General features: G+C 40.4%; 1 protein-coding gene across 1 annotated transcript in view, besides 1 other annotated feature; it reads left to right on the forward strand.

The window, feature by feature from the left end:
* The window catches only part of ZC2HC1B (zinc finger C2HC-type containing 1B), a 73,870-nt gene that overhangs the window by 28,388 nt on the left and 19,494 nt on the right, over positions 1-25,988 (forward strand). Inside the window, exons 5-6 of the mRNA NM_001013623.3 lie at positions 5,691-5,830; positions 10,183-10,291. Coding sequence (NP_001013645.1) covers positions 5,691-5,830; positions 10,183-10,291 — 249 coding nt within the window. The remainder of the gene's footprint in view (positions 1-5,690; positions 5,831-10,182; positions 10,292-25,988) is intronic.
* Positions 9,073-9,292: an enhancer, noted in NCBI's record as "active region_25207". NCBI's record gives its function as "activates an Ori minimal core promoter by ATAC-STARR-seq in GM12878 lymphoblastoid cells {active_cell/tissue: GM12878}" and the evidence as "EXISTENCE:reporter gene assay evidence [ECO:0000049][PMID:35858748]".

Here is a 25,988-nt window from a genome sequence, read left to right on the forward strand (position 1 = left end):
AGATTTCCCAGGCAGGACACAAAATCCACTAATAATTTTTTTTTAAAAAAAGGAAATTAGTAAATTGAGCCTTACCAAAATTAAACATTTCAGTTTAAGACTTAAGAAAATGGATCTGGTCTGAAGAAATGATGAATAAAGAAAAAAAAAAATGGAAAGGCAAGTTACAGACTGGGAGAAAATATTCATAATTTGTATATCTGACAAAGAACTCATATCAAGAACATGTAAAGAACTCTTAAAACTCAGTAATAAGGAGACAACCCAATCAGAAAAGGTAAACAGATTTATTTGAACAGACACATCACAAAATAATAGCCAATAGCACACGAAAAGATACTCAACATCATTTTCATTAGGAAAATGCAAATTAAAAACCATAATGAGATACCACTACACATCCACTTCAGTGGCTAAAATTAAAGACTCTGACAATACAACACTTGTAATCTCAGCACTTTGGGAGGCCAAGGTAGGCGGATCCCTTGAGGCCGGGAGTTTGAGACCAGCCCGGCCAACATGGCAAAACCCTGTCTCTACTAAAAATACAAAAAAAATTAGCCAGGCATGGTGGCTCACTCCTGTAATCCCAGCTACTTGGGAGGCTGAGGCATGAAAATCATTTGAACCTGGAGGCAGAGGTTGCAGTGAGCAGAGATTGTGCTAATGCGCTCCAGCCTGGGTGACAGAGTGAGACTGTCTCAAAAAACAAAGAAGAAAAAGACTGACGCTATGAGTGTTTGCTATGATGTGGACCAACTGGAAGTCTCATACACTGCTGATAGAAGTATAAAACAGTACAACCATTTTGCACTGGTATTTTCTTTTCTTTCTTTTCTTTTTGAGACAGAGTCTTGCTCTGTCACCCAGGCTGGAGTGCAGTGGCACCATCTCGGCTCACTGCAAGCTCCGCCTCCCAGGTTCACGCCATTCTCCTGCTTCAGCCTCCCAAGTAGCTGGGACTACAGGCACCCACCACCACACCCAGCTAATGTTTTGTATTTTCAGTAGAGACAGGATTTCACCGTGTTAGCCAGGATGGTCTTGATCTCCTGACCTCGTGATCCACCCACCTCAGCCTCCCAAAGTGTTGGGATTACAGGTGTGAGCCACCGCGCCCGGCCTGCACTGGTATTTTCTTAATAAGTTAAACATACACTTAGCCTATAAAGCAATTCCATTTCTTGATATTTATACAAAAAATGAAAACATGTCCATAAAAAAGATTTACATGATTGTTCATAGCTTTATTCATATAGCGTAAACTGGAAACAACTGAAAATGTCTATCAACAATTGAATAGATAAACAGATTGTGGAATATTTACAAAATGGTCTAGTACTCAACTATAAGGAGGAAATACATGCAGCAACATAGATGTTCTATTATATGAAATTATAGGACAGGGAAATCTTATGAATAGTAATAGGAAATAGATAATTGGCTGCCTGAGACTGGGTTTTGCAAAATATTGACTGAAAGGGGGCATGAGGGAACTTTTTGGGGTGACGAAAATGTTCTGTATTTTAATTGAGGTGGTTAAAATGGATACATTCGTCAAAACTCATTGAACTGTACATGTAAAATAGGTGCATTTAGTTGTGTGTAAATTATTCCTCAAAAAGACTATTTAAGAAAGTGCAAAAACAAAAAGCCACAGTGTAGTCATACTATAAAATCATCTGAAAAATATGTCATCTGAACTTCTATACCAGAAAATAATCCTCATATTTGCTTCCCTTTTATTGAGTGCTAATGAAAATATATCTTGAAATAATGTGTTGTCTTAAGATATTCAGTAGAAAGATCTGTGCTGTGATTTTAGTAATAATGTAAGTACTTTGGCAACAAGTTTCATATAACAAAAAACATCTTTTATGAGAAATATATTCATTTTAAGATTAGAAACTACAGGGTTGATGGCTACCTTATGGTTCTTTAATTGAATAAGTGAAACCATGTCAGATGTCCTGCTGTGTGAATTTCTCTCACATTTTAGATCCAACTTGGATCTAACCGTGACTTGGATCTAAAATGTGGGGATTATTGTTTCTCTAAAAAAAATTCCTTTTGTAAGTCCTCACCAAATGTTCAATTTATTTTTCTTTGTATTTCTATGCTAACACATAATTTTATAATTAACTTCTTTCTTGTGTCCTTAACATAATTTTATGCAACAAACCAAATGATTATATGCACTCCCAACATTTTCACCACGGTTTGATGATTTTGTTTGTGCAAGGATTTTATATTAGCCCAGAATTCTCAGGCTTAAGTTCTAGAGAATTTATTTGTTTTTTGTTGTTGTTGTTGTTTTTGAGACAGAGTTTTGCTCTTGTTGCCCAGACTGGAGTGCAATGGCAGGACCTCGGGTCACTGCAAACTCCGCCTCCCAGGTTCAAGCAATTCTCCTGTTTCAGCCTCCTGAGTAGCTGGGATTACAGGCGCCCGCCACCACGCCCAGCTGATTTCTGTATTTTTAGTAGAGATGGGGTTTCATCATATTGGTCAGGCTGATCTTGAACTCCTGACCTCAGGTAATGCACATGCCTCGGCCTCCCAAAGTGCTGGGATTACAGGCATGAGCCACTGCACCCGGCCAGTACTAAAGAATTTATATACATATAACTAGAGTTATATATAACATGGCCTAACATGCATGAATGTGCCAGTAATTTCCCTTTTTTCCTCAGCATGATTCCCTATTTTCATGATTCAGTTTTTGAGACATGCCTATATTCTACTTTTTAGTGACTTAGCTAAGTCTGTCAATGATTTAAATTTCTAGGATACTGTGACAGTTTATGGGGACAGTGATATAGAATATTTATAATTGTTATTTTTCTATGAGGCCTGGGACATTCAGTTACCATTTTGCATAGCTACATAGACACGGATACACAGCACAATATTGGCATTTTAAAATAATGCTTGGTTTTCCACTTTTCTCTGAGATCTGGCCACCATATTCCTCGAAAGAATTCATTTGGACTCTGACTTTTAAAATCATTACCTATTGAAATAAATAGGACATGGTGATTTTATGAAAACATTATTGATAGAGGAAGAGAGGTGACTCCGATTGAGCTGAGTGTAGAACATGTAGCTCAGTTATGCTGGGTTCAGATTATTGTTGCAGAAAATACAACAATTCTCAAAATATGTGAAGTTCAACATAAATAGAAATCAGCAACCTTGAATGCTCAGCCACAGGACTCTCTCCTGCCTGCTCTCTGCCCCTCTGGTGGGGCCTTATGTTCCTTCTGTAGGGTCCCAGAGGCCCTAGTGCCTCTTCTTCTACAGTTTATCCCACCAAGCAGTAATTGTCTGTTTGCCTAATCATCTCTGAGATTTTCATTGGCAGGGAAATAGACTTCAACTTTGCTGTCTCCATGGTGATATGTAGTACCAAACACAGAAGGGTGGCAGTGAGTGAATGAGCAAGTGGGATTAAGGAAGCAACTCAGTATTGCCATGATCATTGTCTTTGCCTAATGTGAGTAGGGTTTATGGTTGCAGCATTTCTTATGTAAGACTTCACTTTCCAGCTGGCAAAATTGAAGAAATAACCACCAAGCTAAAAGCCATGTTCTAGATGGTTCTTCTAAACCATTGTAAATGAATTCTGAATGATAATGGCACTTTCTATTGTACTTTTTTCCTAGGCAGTTTCACTTCTATTTGGTAGTTGGAAACACAACCTTGCTGAACCTGTTTCCTTATAGCAATAGCTAGCATTTACAAAACATTTAGTATGTTCCACCCCGCCCACTGTGCCAGGCCCTTATGTGGATTTTCATAGTTAACTTTCACAACAACCCGATGAAACAGGTGATATGTAGGTGCTGGGAAAATGGAAGCTTAAGGAGGTTGGGTAACTTGCCCGAGTTCACACACATAGCAAGTAAAGAACTCAGGCTCAAAACCAGTCAGGCAAGCTCCAGCACTGGGCTTTTTATCATTTCCCAATGCTGTCCTGTTCTATTTTTTTTCAAGGCATTTATCTCCGTGTGAAATTTTTATTTATTTGTTTCTGTGCTAGAATGCTTACTCCTTGATTTCAGAGACATTGCATCCCCAGGTGTAAGACAGCACCTGGCACCAAGTAGATGCTCAGTCAGTGTTAAATTAATGATGAGGTACTGCCTTCTGGATGGAGTAAGAAATAAAGGATAAGGCTACCAGATAATTCCTAAGTGCTTAACAATTGTTACATCTTATGAATATACATTTTAGGAAATGATTTGTTCAAATAGGAAACTCCCCAAACTGCTTAAAAAGGTGGCTTACAAAAAATTCTTAACATCACTACATGAAATACCCATCCACGCATGTAGGAATTTTGACTATACACTAACACAAGTTCTACACTGAGTTTGAGGTTGATGCAGTTTCACACCCTTCCTGGGGTCGGGGCGGTGGGATTATTTTATGTTGCTGATATCTAGTGTGCTATCCCTTTAAGGTGCCTGAAACAAAACAAAGCAAACACCAATCCCTGCTTGATTTAGAGGGGTAGTTGCCAACCTAGTTTTGCTATGAGCAGCTCCACATTCTAAGAAGATCTTGCCTGTTTCCCACTTCTCATTTCTCTCCGTAACCAATTATGTCTGTTAATTGCAAATGAAAGAAGAAAAAAAAGATATTATACAGAACCACAGAGAACCTGGGGCCGACAGGAGCTGCCTGGGCCATTGCATCTCTGGAAGCTGAAGCTGTTTTCGGTGAACTTTCCTATCATCCCTCCTTCTTTCCCTTTTCTGTTTTTTGAGTCCTCACCTTTTATCCTATTACTATCTCCTTCCTGAATATATTGCCTGCTCACTTAGTAGTTAAGTGAAAAAAAAAATCTAGCCACTGCAAAAGCAGTATGTCTTTCTGCCAGTGACACAGTCCCATTGACTTCCATTCATATCTCCCAAACCCACATTTTGAAACATCCCATCTCCCTCTGTAACTCTGTAACTTCTCTAAGACCCACCCAGCACTACAACCTATGCTTTTGAATATTCTGTGCCCTACTGTGCCATCAATACTAACATTCTGTGATTCTAGAACTACTTTCTTTACACAGGATTTACTAAATAATTCATTTCATTGAGAAGTTCTTAAGATTAATTTTCTTTGTTTTTCTGGAAAAGTACATCACTTAAACATTTCAAGGACAGACAATTGAAATGAATGCACAGGTTGTGACATTTTTCCATGCCATGTCCTTTAGTTGAGCCCTGCATGTCTTGCCCTTTGGAATAGTCTCAAACCAGAGTTTGGGACCTTGTTCTTTCATGTTGGAGCAGAGTTCATATCATTACTTACATATTTATTTATTTACTTATTTGAAATAGGGTCTTGTTCTGTTGCCCAGGCTGGAGTGCTGTGGCATGATCACAGCTGACTGCAGCCTTGACCTTCTGGGCTCAAGCTATCCTCTCAAGTGGCTGGAACCACAGGCACACACCACCACACCTGGCTAATTTTTTGTAGGGACGGGGTTTTGCCGTGTTGCCCAGGCTGGTCTCAAACTCCTGGACTCAAGCAGTCCACTCACCTCAGCCTCACAGAGTGCTGGGATTACTGGCATGAGCCATCATATCCTTATTTCACTTCATGTAGTTCATTCTATAATTCTATAGTATTCTATAGTTGTTTTTGAAGTGCTAATTGCCATTTGTTGTTATCTTTACATTCAGATTATATTCAACGTCCATATTGTATGAGAAGGTTTAATGAAAGCGCAGCTGAGCGACATACTAATTTCTGCAAGGATCAGTCTTCTCGCCGAGTCTTTAATCCAGCTCAGACAGCAGCCAAATTGGCATCCAGAGCTCAGGTAACTATCTCTCCCCAGGTGTTGGCTCTTGTGCCCTTGAATGCCTAGGGGTGAGCCGGTAGAACTCCCTAGAGAACCTCAGTTACCCATCCTAAGAAGTGTAAGCGTGAAGAGAGCTGATCATGATTGCTCACCCCTGTGGGAGCTGACTTCTTTTGCAGGAGAATGCTTTCCAGCTAAGGCACCTTTGGGTGTTGTAGAAAAAAATATTTCTAAAGTATTTGAAGCTTCTTTGGGTGAAGACTTGAATACATAGTGTTTCTATAGCATTATGGCAAAACTCTTTATCCAACAGTATCAACCTTAATCACCCAGAAAAGAATTGCGAACCTGAAGTGAAACTGCCTGAGTGGGACAGGCTGTCCCAAGGCAACTGCCCCACAGGTCATGTGTTTTGCTCTATAGAGGAGGGGTCTTCACCTTTTATTTAAAGTCACAGAATCAGCAAGTTAAAGGGATATGTGGATGAATGGAAGCAGCTGTTAACATTAGGTGCAAATCAGTAAAATAACAACCTGAAGTGGAAGACAGTAGATTTATAAACCACAGAACTGGAGCCAGCAAACAGCACCATACAGTCGAAGGTCTCAGGTACATACTTACAATATAGCATAAAAACTATTAGTTTCATAGACGTGGCTTAGATGCCATGAAAAGTTGGTCTGGATACTTTAAGTGTATACAGACTGTTTATTTATTTTTGAGACAGGGGCTCACTCTGTTGCCCAGGCTGGAGTGCAATGGTGTAATCATGGCTCATTGCAGCTTTGACCTCCCAGGTGCAGGTGATACTCCCACCTCGGCCTCCTGAGTAGCTGGAACTACAGGTGCATAGCACCACGCCCAGCTAATTTTTTGTATTTTTAGTAGAGATGGGGTCTCACTGTGTTGCTCAGGCTGGTCTCAAACTCCTGGGCCCAAGCAATCTGCCCTCTTCAGCCTCCCAAAGTGCTAGAACTACAAGTGTGAGCATCGTGCCTGGCCCCTACAGCCTGTTTAGAAAGCTTCTGGTTAAATCCAGTATGTAATGGGGTGGGACCGTTTCCAACAAAAGCGGATCCCACAGACTGTGGATCCTGAGCGCTATCCCCTTAAGCATTAGAAGGTTATTGACTATCAACTATGTACCAGAAACTGCGCTAGGTACTGGTTTGATCAAGAATTTGTCATTGAAAGATGGAGGGGGACTTAGAGCTGGTACAGTTGGCATATATAGGAGAGCTATGGAAGAAGAAGTCACTGCAATTCCTGGAAGTCTTCAAAGGCAAGCAAACTTTTTGCCCTTAAATATCAAAATGGGTTCACCAGCCTAGAGTTGGGGTTGGGAAGGGCTTTATGCACAAAACATCCAGCTTGTGGCCTGAGGCACCCATCTGGGGAGCGAAAGCATAGAGTACCTACGAAAGAGGTACAGGGTGCTGGGTGTGGTGGCTCACGCCTGTAATCCCAGCACTTTGGGGGGCTGAAGTGGGCAGATCACCTGAGGTAGGGAGTTTGAGACCAGCCTGACCAACATGGAGAAACCCCGTCTCTACTAAAAATACAAAATCAGCCGTGTGTGGTGTCACATGCCTGTAATCCCAGCTATTTGTGAGGCTGAGGCAGGAGAATTGCTTGAACCTGGGGAGGCAGAGGTTGTGGTGAGCCAAGATCATGCCATTGCACTCCAGCCTGGGCAACAAGAGCAAAACTCCGTCTCAAAAAAAAAAAAAAAGAAAAAGAAAAGAAAAAAGAGGTACAGGGACAGGCAAGACAGGCAGACAGGCAGCCAGAACTAGAAGGGCTTTAACTCAAGCCAGTTGAGAGAGGAAGAAAAGAGGAATTGATTGAATAAATGCCCTAAAATCAAGGACTGTCCTTGATTGACAGGTCCTTGATTAACAGGTCCTTGATTAACAGGTCCTTGAATGAGGGCCTGGAATAGGACGATTAATAGAGTTGTGTGGGAGGGAGAATCTAAGAAATAATTGATGAGACTGAGAAAATGATTAGACATAGGATAAAAGAGGGAATCAGGGTTGACAATAAGGTTTTCAGCTCCAGAGCCTGGAGAGACAGGAAGACAATCTCTGTAGATAATAGAACACAGGAGGGAGGACATATGGGTGGTGAGAGGCAGTGGTTACAATAAATACAGTTTTATAGATTGTTTTGTTTTTGTTTTTGAGATGGAGTCTCACTCTGTTGCCCAGGCTTGAGTGCAGTGGCACAATCTCGGCTCACTGCAACCTCCGCCTCCTGGGTTCAAGCGATTCTCCGGCCTCAGCCTCCCAAGTAGCTGGGATTACAATCACCCACCACCATGCCTGACTAATTTTTGTATGTTCAGAAGAGATGGAGTTTCACCATGTTGGCCAGGCTGGTCACAAACCCCTGACCTCAAGTGATCCGCTTGCCTCAGCCTCCCAAAGTGCTGGGATGACAGGCATGAGCCACCACACGCGGCCTAGATTCAGTCTTGACATCTGAGATAGCATGAAAAGAAGTGCAATGTAGAAAAAGCCAGGATTCTACAGTCAGTAGTCAGGGTTTGAATTTCTTTCTTTCTTTCTTTCTTCCTTTTTTTTTTTTTTTTTTTTTTTTTTTGAGACAGAGTCTCACTCTGTTGCCCAGGCTGGAGTGCAGTGGTGTGATCTCGGCTCACTGCAACCTCCGCCTCCCGGGTTCAAGCGATTCTTGTGACCCAGCCTTCCAAGTAGCTTGGATTACAGGCTCCCACCACCATGCCTGGCTACCTTTTGTATTTTTAGTAGAGACGAGGTTTCACCATGTTGGCCAGGCTGGTCTCGAACTCCTGACCTCAGGTGATCTGCCTGCCTTGGTCTCCCAAAGTGCTGGGATTACAGGCATGAGACCCCGTGCCCGGCCAGGGTTTGAATTTTAATTCTATAATTTAGGTAAACTTGGCCGAGTTACTTAAATTCTTTGGGATTCACTTTAATCTGTAAAATGGGGTTAATCATGTGTACCTTGCTGAGTTGTTGGGGGACTTATAGATAAGTGAAGGGCCCGGTTCAGTGTCTTGCACACAGGGGCTCCTCCTTTCCTCTCTCTACATTACCCCACCCTCCCCTTCTCCAGTAGCCTTTTCCAGTTGATACGATTGGCATGACACTTTTGGAGGAATATGACTACTTTGGGCTTGAACACAGCCTAATTATGGAAAAGTTTGTATGTATAAGTCTACCTACAGTCTGTAAAGCAGTAAAGGGTGAGTTACATTTCTGCAGATGGTTCTTCTTACTGGTCTCCAGAGTTAGTCTGCTTTAGTGGGGCCAAAGAGAGCACAGGAAAGCAGCAAACGGAAGTGTTTTTATTCCTGAAGAAGGCCAGCTGGCTGTCAGTGTAACCAGTGACTTGGCCCCACTCCTCTCCTTGTTTTCCAGAGCTGAGTGGTGATTGCGAACACAGAAGAAAAATTGCTTGCTTTGTGAATTCCTTCACTCACTGTAGAGTATATCTGAACAGCCGTATTTGTTTCCTTTGTGCCAGCTTCACCACTTTGGGGCCTTGTCTAATAGTGAAGCTTATTCAAAAATGGAACAAGAAAGGAGGGGTTGTTTCAGTTTTGAAGGGCTGTTAACACAGCCGAAATATGTTTCTATTTTAAACATAATCAACTTTTAAAATGTGTCATACTCTTAACCAAAAGAGACCAATATAGGCCTCTAAAAATAGCTTTATTTGTGTGAATGGGGATGAGCTGCCTCCTATAGTCTCTCAGCCATTCTTGCCCAAGTGAGAATTCTCACTTGGTGTAACAGGTTATCTTTATCCTGCAGTTCCGTGGAACTGGAGGTGGGATCAGTGGCAAGATAAAAGGAGCATGTGAGAAACCTTTTGGTCCTTATTTCGTTTTAATGTAACTATTCTGCTGCTGCTGCTCTGCAGGGAGGGGGATGGTGTAGGGATGTTGGAATTTCATGCTTCAAACATTTGCTGCCTGCCAATCTGTTTTTCTTTGTTCATGTTAAAAAAAACAAAATAGTCTTCAAGTGTAATGAAAAAAATAAAATGTTCTTTAAATATATCCTTTATTGACATTAAGTGATTTCTTATGTCTCCATACAACTAATTTTATAGGATAAATATACCACCACCAACCCCAAGGGCTTAATTATGGAAGGGAAGCTTCAAAACCCAGATATTGCTTTGAGCACCAGCTGGGAGGACAAGAACCAGGCTAACTGAAGTGCAGGGTGTGTGTCTGTCCCCTTCCCCTGGATTCAGGGAGTCCCTGCAGATGATACCATTCTGCTGCTGGTTAAGTGGGAACAGCTGTACCTCCTATGTGGCACCTGAGGTTACATACAGAAGGTGTTCTCTTTGTCTCTTTCTTTCTCTCTCTGTAGGGTAGGGCTCAGATGGGTCCAAAAAAAGAACCAACTGTTACCAGTGCTGTGGGAGCTTTGCTGCAGAACAGGGTCCTGGTGGCCACGAATGAAGTCCCAACCAAGTCAGGTGAGTCAAAGCACGCATTTCATCTCTCAAATGATGGGGGTCAGAGGAGATCACTGTTGGGTTTGGGATTCACTGGTAGTCTGCAAAAGCTCTAAGACATTCACTGTTGCTTTTGGATGCAAAGATATTTGGGTTAGAGGTTAAAGCTTATTTGCCAAAAGGGAATATTTCTTAATTTATCAGGATTACACAACTTTCACAATGTACAAGTCAAATTCGATTACTGCAATGGGAGTCTAAACCATTGTTCTCCGGTCTAGTAAAATTGAAGAGATTGAAAATAGGAGAAGACCACGTGTCATATGTTTGTGTTGAAAATAAGGGGAAAGTTTCTTTTCTAGAAATAAATACAGATCCTCCTCAATTTATGATGGGGCTATGTCCTGATAAGCCCATTGTAAATAGAAATATTATAAGTCAAAAATGCATTTAACATCCCAATTAACCCATGTAAAGTTGAAAAATCTTATGTCAAACTAACATAAGTCAAGAATTTCTGTACAGTCATCCCTCGGTATCCACAGGGGATTGGTCCCAGGGCCCTAGTGGGTACCAAAACCTGAGATGTTGAAGTCCCTGATATAAAATGGCGTAGAATTTGTATATAACCTAGGCACATCCTCCTGTATACACTAAATCATCTCCAGATTACTTATAATACCTAAGGCAATGTAAATGCTATGTAAGTAGTTGTTATGCTATATTAAAATTGTTGTATTATTTTTTATTATTGGTACACTTGGGTTTTATTTATCTATTTATTTATTTTTAAATGTTCTCCATCTGTAGTTGTTAAATCTGCAGATGTGGAACCCATGGGAACAGAGGCTGACTGTAATTTCTTCAAAGTAGCAACAAGGCAGAACCATAGGAGCCATCCTAATGGGGATGAGGTGGTATCTCATTTTAGTTTTAATTTGCATATCTCTAATGACTTATGAGGTTAAGCCTCTTTTCAAGTGCTTATTGGTCATTTGTATATATTCTTTGAAAAAATGTCTGCTCAAGTCCTTTGCCCATTTTTGAATTGTTTTTGTTGTTTTGGTTTTTGCTAACTTAATCACCAGTGTGATTGGTTGTTTTTGTTGTTGACTTTTAGGAATTCTCTATGTATTCTGGATATTAATCCCTTATCAGCCATATGGTTTATAAATATTCTTTTCTTTCCTATTCCATGGGTTGCCTTTTTCCTCTGTTGATATTCTTTTTTGTGTGTGTTTTTTGTTTGTTTGAGACAGGGTCTCTGTTGCCCAGGCTGGAGTGCAGTGGCACAATCATAGCTCACTGCAGCTTCAACCTGCCAGGCTCAAGTGATCCTCCCACCTCAGCCTCCCAAGTACCCAGGACTATACGCATGTGCCAACATGCCCAGATAATTTTTAAATTTTTCGTAGAGATGAGTTCTCACTATGCTGATATTCTCTTGATTCATAAATTTTTAAAATTTTAGTGAAGTCCAATTTGTCTGTTTTTCTTTGGTTGCCTCTGGTGACCAAGGAATCCAAGAAATTGGATTAATCCTTGCCTAATCCAGGGTCAGAGAGGTTTACTCCTATGTTTTTGTCTAAGCTAAGGCTAGCTTTAGATCTTACGTTTTAGTTCTTTGATCCATTTTGAGTTAATTTTTAATATATGGTGTTAGGTAAGAGTCCAGCTTCATTCTTTTGAATGTAGATGTCCAGTTTCCCCATTCAACCAATGGTCTTGCACCCTTGTCAAAAATCATTTGACCATGTATACAAGGGTTTATTTCTGGACTCTATTCTATTTCATTGGTTTATATGTCTGTCTTTATGCCAGTATTATATTTCCTTGATTACTATAGCTTTTAGTAAGTTTTGACATCAGGAACTGTGAGTCCTCCAAGGTACAGCCAAGATTGTTTTGGCTATTTGGGATCCCTTGAGATTCCATGTGAATTTTAGGTTGGGCTTTTTTATTTCTGCAAGAAACATCATTGAGATTTTAACCGTGATTGCACTGAATCTGCAGATTGCTTTGGTTAGTATGGACATCTTAACAATAGTAAGTTTTCAAATCCATGAACATGGAATATATTTCTGTTTATTTATGTCCTCTTTAATTTCTTTCAGCAATGTTTTGTAGTTTTCATTGTACAAATCTTTCACCTCATTGCTTAAGTTCATTCCTAAGTGTTCTTTTTGATGTTATTGTAAATGTAGTTGTCTTCATAATTTTTTTTGATTGTTCATTGTCAGTATATAGAAACACAACTAATTTTCCTGTGTTGACTTTCTGTTCTACTTTGCTGAATTAATTTATTGCTTCTAATAAGTTTTTTGGTGATATCTTTAGGATTTTCTGCTTATAAGATCATAGCATCTGTGAACAGAGATAATTTTACTTCCTCCTTTCCAATTTGGATGCCTTTTAATTTTTTTCTTCCTAATTGCTCTGGTTGGAACTTCTAGTACTTCATTAAATAGAAGTGGTGAAAATTAGCACACTTGCATTGTTCTTGATCTCAGAGGGAAAGTTTTCAGTCTTTCAGCATTGAGTATGGTGATCTCTGTGGGTTTTACATGTATGGTTTTTATTATGTTGAGGTAGTTTCCTTCTATTCTTAGTTTGTTGAGTGTTTTTATCATGAAAGGGTGTTGAATTTTCTCAAATGGTTTTTTTTGCATCAATTGAGATGATGATGTAATTTTTGTCCTTTATTCTGTAAATGTAGTGTACATTGATCGATTTTCATGTGTTGAACCATCCCTGTATCCCAGGAACAAATCTCACATGGTCATGGTGTATAATCCTTTTAACATGCTACTGAACTTGATTTGTTAGTATTTTATTGAGGATTTTTGCATTAATGTTCATAAGAGATGTAGTTTTCTTATAGCATCTTTGAAGTCAGGGTATCCTTCACCTTATGGAATGAATTAGGAATGTTCCTACTTCTTCAACACATTTGGGAAAAGTCTGAGAAGGGTTGGTGTTAGTTTTTCTTTAAATGTTTGGTGGAATTCGCCAGTGAAGCCCTCAGGTCCGGAGCATTTTAATGTCATGAGATTTTTTATTATTAATTCTATCTCCTTACTAGTTATCAGTCTATTCAAATATTCTATTCGTTCATGATTTACTCTAGGTAGGTGTTGTGTTTTTTAGGAATTCATCCATTTCATCTAGGTTCTCCAATTTTTTGGTATATATTTTTTCATAATACTCTCATGAAATCCTTTTTTATTTCTATAGCATTGGTAGTCATATCTCCATTTTCTTTTCTGATTTGAGTAATTTGAGTGTTTTCTCTTTTTTAATTTTAATTTTAATTTTTTTTTGTTTTGTTTTGAGAGAGAGCCTCACTCTGTTGCCAAGGCTGGATTGCAGTGGCGAAATCTTAGCTCACTGCAACCTCCACCTCCTGGCTTCAGGTGATTCTCCTGTCTCAGCCTCTCCAGTAGCTAGAACCACAGGCACACACCACCACACCTGGCTAATTTTTGTATTTTTAATAGAGATAGAGTTTTGCCATGTTAGCTAGGCTGGTCTCTAAATTATGGCCTCAAGTGATCTTCCCGCCTTGGCCTTGCAAAGTGCTGGGATTACAGGCATTAGCCACTGTGCCCAGCCCCTCTTTTTTTTTTTTTTATTAGTCTATCAAGCTAATGGTTTTCTTTTCATTTTAAGTTCAGGGGTACATGTGCAGGATGTGCAGGTTTATTACATAGGTAAGCATGTGCTACGGTGATTTGCTGCCAGATCATCCTAGGTATTAAGCTGAGCATCCATGAGCTATTCTTCCTCATGCTCTCCCTCCTTCCCCCCATTCTCCAGCAGGCCCCATTGTGTGTTGTTCTCCACTATGTGTCCATGTTTTCTCATCATCCAGCTCCCACTTATAAGTGAGAACATGTGGGATTTGGTTTTCTGTTCCTGCATTAGTTTGTGGAAGATAATGGCCTCCAGCTCCATCCACGTCCCTGCAAAGGACACCATCTCATTCCTTTTTATGGCTGTATGGTATTCCATGGTGTATATGTACCACATTTTCTTTATCCAGTCTATCACTGATGGACATTTAGGTTGATTCCATGTCTTTGCTATTGTGAATAGTGCTGCAATGAAAATACATGTGCATGTATCTTTATAATAGAATAATTTATATTCCTTTGGGTATATACCCAGTAATGGGATTGCTGGGTCAAATGGTATTTCTGCCTCTAGATCTTTGAGGAATCACCACACTGTCTTCCACAATGGTTAAACTAATTTATAGTTCCACCAACAGTGTACAGTGTTCCTTTTTCTCCACAACCTTGCCAGCATCTGTTATTTTTTAACTTTTTAATAATAGCTATTCTGATTGGTGTAAGATGGTATCTCATTGTGGTTTTGATTTGCATTTCTCTAATGTTCAGTGATGTTGAGCTCTTTTCATATGTTTGTTGGCTGCATGTATGTCTTCTTTTGAGAAGTGTCTGTTCATGTCCTTTGCCTACATTTTAATGAAGTTGTTTTTATCTTTTAAATTTGTATAAGTTCCTTGTAGATGCTACATATTTGACCTTTGTCAGATGGATAGATTGCAAACATTTTCTCCCATTCTGTAAATTGTGTGTTCACTCTATTGGTAGTTTCTTTTGCTGTACAGAAGTTCTTTAGTTTAACTAGATCCCATTTGTCAATTTTTGCATTTGTTGCAATTGCTTTTGGTGTCTTCATCATGAAATCTTTGCCCATGCCTATGTTCTGAATGGTATTGCCTAGATTTTCTTCTATGGTTTTTCTAGTTTTTGGGCTTTACATTTAAGTCCTTAATCCATCTTGAGTTGATTTTTGCAGATGGTGTAAGGAAGGGATCCAGTTTCAATTCTCTGCATATGGCTGGCCAGTTATCCCAGCACCATTTATTAAATAAAGAATTCTTTCCCCATTGCTTGTTTTTGTCAGGTTTGTTGAAGATCAGATGGTTTTAGGTGTGCAATCTTATTTCTGGGTTCTCTATTCTGTTCCATTGGTCTCTGAGTCTTTTTGTACTAGTGTAATGCTGTTTTGGTTACTGTAGCCTTGTAGTGTAGTTTGAAGTTGGGTAGCGTGATGGCTCCAGCTTTGTTCTTTTTGCTTAGGATTGTCTTGACTATTTGGGCTCTGTTTTGATTTCATATGAATTTTAAAATAGTTTTTTCTAATTCTGTGAAGAATGTCAATGGTAGTTTAATGGAAATTGCATTGAATCTGTAAATTGCTTTGAGCAGTATGTCAATTTTCATGATATTGATTCTTCCTATTCATGAGCATGGTATATTTTTCCATTTGTTTGTGTCATCTCTGATTTCTTTGAGCAGTGGTTTATAGTTCTCTTTGAAGAGATTCTTCACTTTCCTTGTTAGCTGTATTCCTGGGCATTTTATTCTTTCTGTGACAATTGTGAATGGAGGTTCACTCATGATTTGGCTCTCAGCTTGCCTGTTGTTTGTGTATAGGAATGCTAGCAATTTTTGCACATTGATTTTGTATTTTGAGACTTTGCTGAAGTTGCTTACCAACTTAAGAAGCTTTTGGCCTGAGACAATGGGGTTTTCTAGATATAGGATCCTGTCATCTGCAAACAAAGATAGTTTGACTTCCTCTCTTCCTGTTGGAATCTTCTTTCTTTCTTTGTTTTGCCTGATTGCCCTGGACAGAACTTCCAGTACTATGTTCAATAGGAGTGGTGAGAGAGGGCCTCTTTGTCTTGTGCCAGTTTTCAAGGGGAAATCTTCCAGCTTTTGCCGAATCAGTATGATATTGGCTGTGGGTTTGTCATATGTGACACTTATTATTTTGAAGTGTGTTCCTTTAATACCTAGTTTATTGAGCGTTTTTAACATAAAGGGATGTTGAAATTTATTGAAGGTCCTTTCTGTATCCATTAAGAAATTCATATCTTTAGATCTGTTTATGTAATGTATCACATTTATTGATTTGTGTACATTGAACCAACCTTGCATCTCAGGGATGAAGCCTACTGAATTGTAGTGGATAAGCTTTTTGATGTGCTGCTGGATTTGGTTTGCCAGTATTTTGTTGAGGATTTTTGCATTGATGTTCATCAAGGGTATTGGCCTGAAGTTTTTGTTGTTGGTTGTGTATCTCTGACAGGTTTTGGTGGTGGGCTCCTGTAATCCCAGCTACTCAGGAGGCTGAGGCATGAGAGTCACATGAACCTGGGAGGCAGAGGTTGCAGTGAGCTGAGATTGACCCACTGCACTCCAGCCTGGGTGACAGAGCTAGACTCCATCTCAAAAAAGAAAAAAAAATAAGTTAGGGAAGATTCCCCCTCCTTTTCAATTTTTTGGAATAGTTTCAGTAGAAATAGTACCAGCTCTTCTTTGTACCTTTAGTTGAATTCATCTGTGAATCTCTCTGGTCCTGGGCTTTTTTTTTTTTTTTTTCCCGGCTGGTAGGCTATTTATTTCTGCCTCAATTTCAGAACTTGTTATTGGTCTATTCAGGCATTCTGTTTCTTCCCTGTTCAGTCTTGGGAGGATGTATGTGTCCAGGAATTTATCCATTTCTTCTAGAATTTCTAGTGTATGTGCATAGGGTTGTTTATAGTATTCTCTGATGGTTGTTTGTATCTCTGTGGGGTCAGTGGTGATATCCCCCTTATCATTTCCGATTGTGTTTATATAAATCTTCTCTCTTTTCTTCTTTACTAGTCTAGCTAGCAGTCTATCTGTCTTATTAATCTTAAAAAAGCAGTTATTGGATTCATTGATTTTTTGAAGGGTTTTGTTTTGTTTGTTTTTACCTTCTTCAGTTTAGCTCTGATCTTGATTATTTCTTGTCTTCTACTAGCTTTGGGTTTATTTGCTCTTGGTTCTGTAGCTCTTTTAGTAGTTAAGTTGTCAATTTGAGCTCTTTCTAGCTTTTCGATGTGGGCATTTAGTGCTGTAAATTTTCCTCTTAACACTGCTTTAGCTGCATCCCAGAGATTCTGGTACACTGTATCTTTGTTCTCATTAATTTCAAAGAACTTGATTTCGGCCTTGATTTCATTATTTGCCCACAAGTCATTCAGGAGCAGGTTCCATGTAGTGTTCAGTTTCCATGTAGTGATGTGGTTTTGAATGAATTTCTTAATCTTGAGTTGTTCAGTTTCCATGTGATGTGTGTTTTTGAGTGAATTTCTTACTCTTGAGTTCTAATTTGATTGTGCTGTGGTCTGACAGACTGGTTGTTATGATTTCAGCTCTTTTGCTTTTGTTGAGGAGTGTTTTACTTCTGATTATGTGATCAATTTTAGAGTTAAGTGCCATGTGGCAATGAGAAGAATGTATATTCTGTTGTTTTGGGGTGGAGAGTTCTTTAGATATCTATCAGGCCCACTTGATCCAGAGCTGAGTTCAAGTCCCGAATATCTTTGTTAATTTTCTGTCTTGATGATCTGTCTAATAGTGTTGGTGTGGTGTTAAAGTCTCCCACTATTACTATTTGCAAGTCTAAGTCTCTGAAAGCCTCTAAGAACTTGCTTTATGAATCTACATGCTCCTGTATTGGGTGCATATATATTTAGGATAGTAAGCTCTTCTTGTTGAATTGAACCCTTTACCTTTATGTAATGCCCTTCTTTTGTCTTTTTTGATCTTTTTTAGTTTATTTGTTTGTTTATTTTTGAGATGGAGTCTTGCTCTGTCTCCCAGGCTGGAGTGCAGTGGCACGATCTTGGCTCATTGCAACCTCCACCTCCTGGTTCAAGTGATTCTCCTGCCTCAGCTTCCCGAGTAGCTGAGATTACGGGCACCCACCACCATGCCCAGCTGGTTTTTGTACTTTTTGTGGAGATGGGGTTTAACCATGTTGGCCAGGGTAGTCTCAAACTCCTAATCTCAGGTTATTCACCTGCCTCGGCCTCCCAAAGTGCTAGGATTACAGGCATGAGCCACTGCGCCCAGCCCTTTGTTGGTTTAAAGCCTGTTTTGTCAGAAACTAGGATTGCAACCCCTGCTTTTTTCAATATTTTCCATTTGCTTGGTAAATTTTCCTTCATCCCTTTATTTTGAGCCTATGTATGTCTTTGCAAGTAAGATGGGTCTCTTGAAGACAGCATATTGATGGGTCCTGGTTCTTTATCCAGTTTGCTGCTCTATATCTTTTAATTGGGGCATTTAGCCCATTTAAATTTAAGGTTAGTATTGTTATGTGTGAATTAGATCCTGTCATCATGATGCTAGTTAGTTATTTTGTAGACTTCTTTCTGTGTTTGCTTCATAGTGTCACTGGTCTGTGTATTTCAGTGTGTTTTTGTAATGGCTTTTCCTTTCCATACTTAGTGCTTCCTTCAGGAGCTCTTGCAAGGCAGGTCTGGTGGTAACAAATTCCCTCATCATTTGCTTGTCTGAAAAGGATGTTGTTTCTCCTTTGCTTATGAAGCTTAGTTTGACTGGATATGAAATTCTGGGTTGGAAATTCTTTTCTTTAAGAATGTTGAATTTTGGCCCCCAGTCTCTTCTACCTTCTAGGGTTTCCACTGAGAGGTCTACTGTTAGTCTGATGGCTTGCCTTTGTAGGTGACCTGGCCTTTCTCTCTGGCTGCCCTTAACCATTTTTTCTTTCATTTCAATCTTGAAGAATCTGATTATTATGTGTCTTGGGGATGATCTTCTCAGGGAGTATTTTACTGGGGTTCTCCACATTTCCTGAATTTGAATATTGGCCTGTCATGCTAGGTTGGGGAAGTGCTGGATTATATCCTAAAGTGTGTTTTCCAACTTGGTTCCATTCTCTCTGTCTCTTTCAGGTACCCCAATCAGTTGTAGATTTGGTCTCTTTACATAATCCCATGTTTCTCAGAGGTTTTGTTCTTTTTTTTCATTCTTTTTTCTCTATTTTTGTCAGCCTGTCTTATTTCAGAAAGATAGTCTTCAAGCTCTGAGATTCTTTCTTCCACATAGTCTATTCTGCTATTAATATTTGTGATTGCATTGTGAAGTCCTGTACTGTGCTTTTCAGCTCTAACAGATTAGTTATGTTTCTCTTTAAACTGGCTATTTGGGCTCTCGGCTCCTGTATTGTTTTATCATGATTCTTAGCTTCTTTGCATTGGTTTACAACATGCTCTTTTATCTCAGCGAAGTTTATTACCCACCTTCTGAAACCTACTTCTGTCATTTCAACCATCTCAGCCTCAGCCCAGTTCTCAGCCCTTGCTGGAGAGGTGTTGCAGTCATTTTAAGGAAAAGGGGCACTCTGGCTTTTTGAGTTTTCAGTGTTTTTGCATTGCTTCTTTCTCATCTTAGTGGGCTTATCTACCTTTGATTTTTTACATTGCTGATTTTTGGATGGGTTTTGTTGTTGTTGTTTTCTATTTGTTTGTTTTTCTTTTAACAGCCTGGCAACTCATCCATAGGGCTGCTAAGGTTTGCTGGGGGTCCACTCTAAACCTTAGTTTTCTTGTTTATTTTCTGTACCTTGAGGTATCACCTGTGAAGGCTGTGAAATAGCAAAGATGGCAGCCAACTTTTTTCCTCTAGAAGCTCTATCCTGGGGTACTGACCTATTGCTGGCCCAAATTTGCCTGTAGGAGGTGGCTGAAGACTCCTGTTGGGGGGTCTTACCCAGTCAGGGTCAGGAACCCACTTAAAGAAGCAGTCTGGATGCTTTTGATAGAGCAGCTGTGCTGTATTGGAGATCCCTTCTGCCCCTGATCGGTTTGGGCTCTCCAAGGCCCACAGGCTGGACAAGCTGAGAAGCCAAATGGCCAAGTTGGCAGCCTGCCCCACCCTTCAGGCACTTTGTCCCAGGGACAACACAGGCCAGGGTGACCAGAGGCCCCTGTGGGTGGGACCTGACTGGGAGTACCTGCCCCAGGATCCAAGGAGGAGTGGATCAGGGTCTTGCTTAAAGAAGCAGTCTGGCCATACCTCAACAAAACAGCTGTGCTGTGGTGATGAACTGCCTCTGCCCCTGTCAACTTGGTCTCTCCAAAGCCCACAGTCCAGAACAGCTAAGTCATCCAACCAACCCAGGTGACAGCCCTCCCCTCCTCTGGGCACTTCATCCCAGGGAGAGATCAGAGCTCTGTCCCTAATATGTGCAGGCAGGTGTGGCTGGAGTGTCCAGCTAGAAGGTTCTACCCAGTGAGGAAGAAGCAGTCTGGCTGTGATCTGGCAAAGCTGCTGTGTTGTACTTCTAGGGAAACCCTTCCTTGTCTGGACGGTTTCGACTCTCCAGAGTCCACAGGCTGGAATAGCTGAATTGACCAAACAGCAGAGGTGTTGCCCACCACTCTCCCCTTGAGGCTCCATCCTGTCTCAGGCAGGCTCCGCCCTGTTGCTGATGGCTTACTGGAATTCCAAGACAGTGGGTCTTATCTTGTCAGGTGTGGTGGAAGTGGGGTCTACAGAATGATGCTGCTTGGCTCCCTGGATTCTGCCCCTTCCTAGGGATATATGCAGACCACCTACCTTGCCTGTGTTGCAGAAAGACTGGTGTATTTAAAGCTCCTGGGTTTCTGTGTGTGCCTGAGCAGTTGCTCTGCCAAGACTCTACCCAGTTCTATGTGACAGATCCAAGGCTCTGGTGGCATAGGCTCACAAGGGGATCTCCTGATCCACAGGTTGCAAAGATTCATGGGAGAAGCATGGTTTCCTGGGTCACATAGTCACTAATTGCTTCCCTTGGCTGGGGGTGGGTGTTTCCTTGGCTCCATGTCACTCCTGGTGGGCCATTGCGCCACCCTACTTTTCTTCATTCTCCGTGTATTGAGTTGTTTCCCTAATCAGTCCCAGTGTGAGAACCTGGATGTTTCAGTTGAAAGCTGTATTCACTTGCCTGTTTTGTTCCTTTCTGTGAGTGCTGTGGACCACAGCTGCTTCTAATCGGCCATCTTGGCCCCTCTCCCAATGGTTTTTCAATTTATTGATTCTTTTCAAAGAACCAACTTTTGGTTTTATTGATTTTTCTCTATTTTTCTATTCTTGATTTCATTTCTCTCCGTCTAACCTTTATTATCTACTTTCTTCCACTAGCTTTTGATTTCATTTGTTCTTCTCGCATTCCTTAATTTGCAAAATTGGATTGTTGATTTGAGATCTTTTTTGTTTTTTTAATGTAAGCATTTATAGGTGTAAATTCCCCCTTAGCACTGCTGTTTCTAAGTCCCATAAGTTTCAGTGTGTTTTTTCTTGAGCTTCATTCATCTCCAAATATTTTCTAATTTCTCTTGTGATTTCTTCCTTGATAACATTGGTTGCTTAAGAGTGTGTTGTTTAATTTCCACAAATTTATGAATTTTATAGTTTTATTTCTGCTTTATCTCACCGTGGTTGGAGAAGACACTTCATATGATATATGTCTTTTTAAATTTACTGAGACTTAATTTGTGGCCTAACATGTGGTTCATTCTGGAAAATGTTGCATGTGCCCTTGAGAAACATATATTGCTGTTTTTGAGTAGAGTGTTCTGAATAAGTCTGTTAGATCTAGTTGGTTTATTGTATTAAATCTTCTATTTTCTTATGTATCTTTATCTGGTTGGTGTTGAGAGTGGAGTATTGAAGTCTCCAACTATTGTTGTAGAACTGTCTATTTCTCCCTTTAGTTCTGTTGATTTTTGCTTCATATATTTTGATGGTCTGTCAGTAGGTTCCTCTTTGTGTCTTGTAATCTTTTTTGACTTAAAGTTTATTTTGTCTAATATTAGTGTGGCCACTAATATTAGTGGCCTCTGCTCTCTCTGGTTATTATTTGCATGCTATATCTTTTTCCATCCTTTCAATTTCAATCTATTTTTGTCTTTGGATCTAAAATGAGTATCTTATAGGCAGCATGTAGTTTTATTCATTCTGCCAATCTCTGTCTATTGATTAGACAGTTTAATCGATTTACATTTCAAGTAATTACTGATAAGGAGAGACATTTGTCATTCTGGTATATGTTTTCTATATGCCTTACAGCTTTTTTGTTCCTCGTTTCCTGCATCACTGTTGATATGATTTGGCTGTGTCCTCACCCAAATTTCATCTTGAATTCCCACGTGTTGTGGGAGGGACCCAGTGGGAAGTAATTGAATCATGGGGGCAAGTCTTCCCTGTGCTATTCTTATGACAATGAGTAAGTCTCACGAGATCTGATGGTTTTAAAAAGAGGAGTTCCCCTGCACAATCTCTGTGGTCTCTTTGCTGCCATGTGAGATATGCCTTTCACCTTCCACCATGATTGTGTGGCCTTCCCAGCCATGTGGAACTGTAAGTCCAATAAACTTCTTTCTTTTGTAAATTGCCCAGCCTTGGGTATGTCTTTTTCGGCAGCATGAAAACAGACGAATACAGTAAATTGGTACCAGTAGAGTGGGGCGCTGCTGAAAAGATATCTGAAAATGTGGAAGTGACTTTGGAACAGGGTAACAGGCAGAGGTTGGAACAGTTTGGAGGCCTCAGAAAAAGGCAGGAAAATGTGAGAAAGTTTGGAACTTCCTAGAGACTTGTTGAATGGCTTTGACCAAAATGTTGATAGTGATACGGACAATGAAATCCAGGCTGAAGTGGTCTCAGATGGAGATGAGGAACTTGTTGGGAACTGGATCAAAGGTTCCTCTTGTTATGTTTTAGCAAAGAGACTGGTGGCATTTTGCCCCTGCCATAGAGATGTGTGGAACTTTGGACTTCAGGGAGATGACTTAGGGTATCTGGCAGAATAAATTTCTAAGCAGCAAAGCATTCAATATGTGACTTGGGTGCTGTTAAAGGCATTCAGTTTTAAAAGGGAAACTGAGCATAAAAGTTTGGAAAAGTTGCAGCCTGACAATGCAATAGAAAAGAAAATCCCATTTTCTGGGGAGAAATTCAAACTGGCTGCAGAAATTTGTATAGGTAATGAGGAGCTGAATGTTAGTCCCCAAGACAATGAGGAAAATGTCTCCACAGCATGTCAGAGCCCTTTGTGGCAGCACCTCCCATCATAGGCCCGAGGTTTAAGGGGAAAAAATGGTTTTGTGGGCCAAGCCCAGCATCCATCTGATGTGTGCAGTCTAGGGACTTGGTGCCCTGTGTCCCAGCTGCTCCAGCCCTGACTAAAAGGGGCCAAGGTACAGCTCAGGCTGTTGCTTCAGAGGGTGGAAGCCCCAAGCCTTGGCAGCTTCCACGTGGTGTTGAGCCTGTGGGTGCACAGAAGTCAAGAACTGAGGTTTGGGAACCTCTGTCTAGATTTCAGAAGATGTATGGAAACACCTGGATGCCCAAGCTAAAGTTTGCTGCAGGGGTGGGGCCCTCATGGAGAACCTCTGCTAGGGCAGTGTGGAAGGGAAATGTGGGGTCAGAGCCCCCACACAGAGTCCCTACTGGGGCACCGTCTAGTGGAGCTGTGAGAAGAGGGCTGGCTGCCGTCCTCCAGACCCCACAATGGTAGATCCACTGACAGTGTGCACTGTGCACCTGGAAAAGCCGCAGACACTCAACACCAGCCCACGAAAGCAGCCAGGAGGGGCTGTATCCTACAAAGCCCCAGGGGTGGAGCTACCCAAGGCTGTGGGAGTACACCTCTTGCATCAGAGTGACCTGGATGTGAGATATGGAGTCAAAGGAGATTATTTTGGAGCTTCAAGATTTGACTGCCCCACTGGGTTTCAGATTTGTGTGGGGCCTATAGCCCCTTTGTTTGGCCAATGTCTCCCATTTGGAATGGCTGTATTTACCCAGCACCTGTACCCCCATTGTATCTAGGAAGTAACTAATTTGCTTTTGATTTACAGGCTCATAGGTGGAAGGGTCTTGCCTTGTCTCAGATGAGACTTTGGATTGTGGACTTTTGCGTTAATGCTGAAATGAGTTAAGACTTTGGGGGACTGTTGGGAAGGCATGATTGGTTTTGAAATGTGAAGACATGAGATTTGGGAGGGGCCAGGGACAAAATGATATAGTTTGGCTCTGTCCCTACCCAAATATCATCTTGAATTCCCATGTGTTTTTGGAGGGACCCAGTGGGAGGTAACTGAATCATGGGGGCAAGTCTTTCCTGTGCTATTCTCGTGATAGTGAGTAAGTCTCATGAGATCTGACGACTTTAAAAAGAGGAGCTCCCCTGCACAAGCTCTCTGTTCTCTTGTCTGCTGCCATGTGAGACGTGCCTTTCACCTTCCACTGTGATTGTTAGGCCTTCCCAGCCACATGGAACTGTAAGTCCAATAAACCTCTTTCTTTTGTAAATTGCCCAGTCTTGGATATGTCTTTATCAGCAGCATGAAAACAGACTAATACTACCGTCTTCTTTTGTTTTTAGTTGATTTTTGAAGCAAAACATTTATATTCCTTCCTCATTTCCTTTTGTATGTATAACTATTTTCTTAGTAGTTACCATGGGGACTACATTTAACTTCCTAATGTTATCACATTCTCATTTGAATTTATTCCAGCTTATCTTCATAACATACAATAACTGCTCCTTCAGCAATGTCTTTTCCACCCATTTTGTTATTGATGTCACAAAATTACATCTTTATACAGGTTGAATGCTCCTAATCTAAAAATCTGAAATCTAAAATGCTCCAACATCTGAAACTTTTTGAGCACTGACATGACATGCAATTGATTTTTGGATTAGTGATGTTCAACCAGTAAGTATAATGCAAATATTCCAAAATTTAAAAAAAAATCTGCAACACTTTGGTCCCAAGCATTTCAGATAAGGGATCCTTAATTTGTGCTTTGTATAGTAAACTAATAATTCCTACATTTGGTCTCTTAAATTATGTATAAAACAAAACGTGGAGTTACAAACCAGTTACAGTACTAGTTTTTAGACTAATAATTGTTTTTTAAAATGTGTTAGTCTCTTCGATCATGTAGAAAACAAAAAAGTGGAGTTGCAAACCATTATTACAATAGTACTAGCTTTTATAATTGTCCATGCATTTACCTTTATTGAGATTTTGATTTCTTCATACAGCTTCAAGTTTCTGTCTAGGATCCTCCCACTTCACCTTGCAGGACTCCCTTGAGTATTTCTTGCAGGGCAGGTCTCATGATAATGAACTTCCTCAGCTTTTGTTTATCTGGGAATGTCTTAATTTCTTCTTCGCCTTTTTTTGGTAAGAGACAGGATCTTACTTGTTGCCCAGGCTGAACTCAAGCTCCTGGGCTCAAGCAATCCTCCTACCCCAGCCTCCTGAGTAGCTGAGACTAGAGGCATGCACCTCTGTACCCATCTCTTCCCTTACTTTTTGAAGGACAGTTTTTCTGTATATGAGATTTTTGGTTGACAGTTTTTTTCTTTTACCACTTTGAATATGTTGGCCCACTGTGTTTCATCCTCCATGGTTTCTGATGAGAAGTCTGCTGATCTTATTGAACATTCCTGGTTTGTGACAGGTCATTTTTTTTCTTGCTACTCTGATTATTTTTTGTCTTTTTCTTTTGAAAGTTTGATTATAATGTGTCTCAGTGTTGGTCTCTTTGAGTTTGTCTTACTTTTAGTTTTTGAATGATTCTTAAATGTTTATAGTCATGTCTTTTGTTAAATCTGGCAAGTTTTCAGCCATTATTTCTCTCTGCTCTTTTCTCTCTCTGCTCCTTCAGGTATTCCCACAATGCATATGTTGGTCAGTTTGACAGTGTCCCACAGGTCCCTAAGGCTCTGTTCACCTTTCCTTAAGTTTTTCTCTTTCTGTTCCTCAGACTTGATAATTTCCATTGTCCTGTCTTTAAGTTTGCTGAGTCTTTCCTCTGTTTGTTCAAATGTATTCTTGAATCCTACTAGT

The sequence above is a fragment of the Homo sapiens genome, chromosome 6, assembly GCF_000001405.40.
Source record: "Homo sapiens chromosome 6, GRCh38.p14 Primary Assembly".
Taxonomy (NCBI): domain Eukaryota; kingdom Metazoa; phylum Chordata; class Mammalia; order Primates; family Hominidae; genus Homo; species Homo sapiens.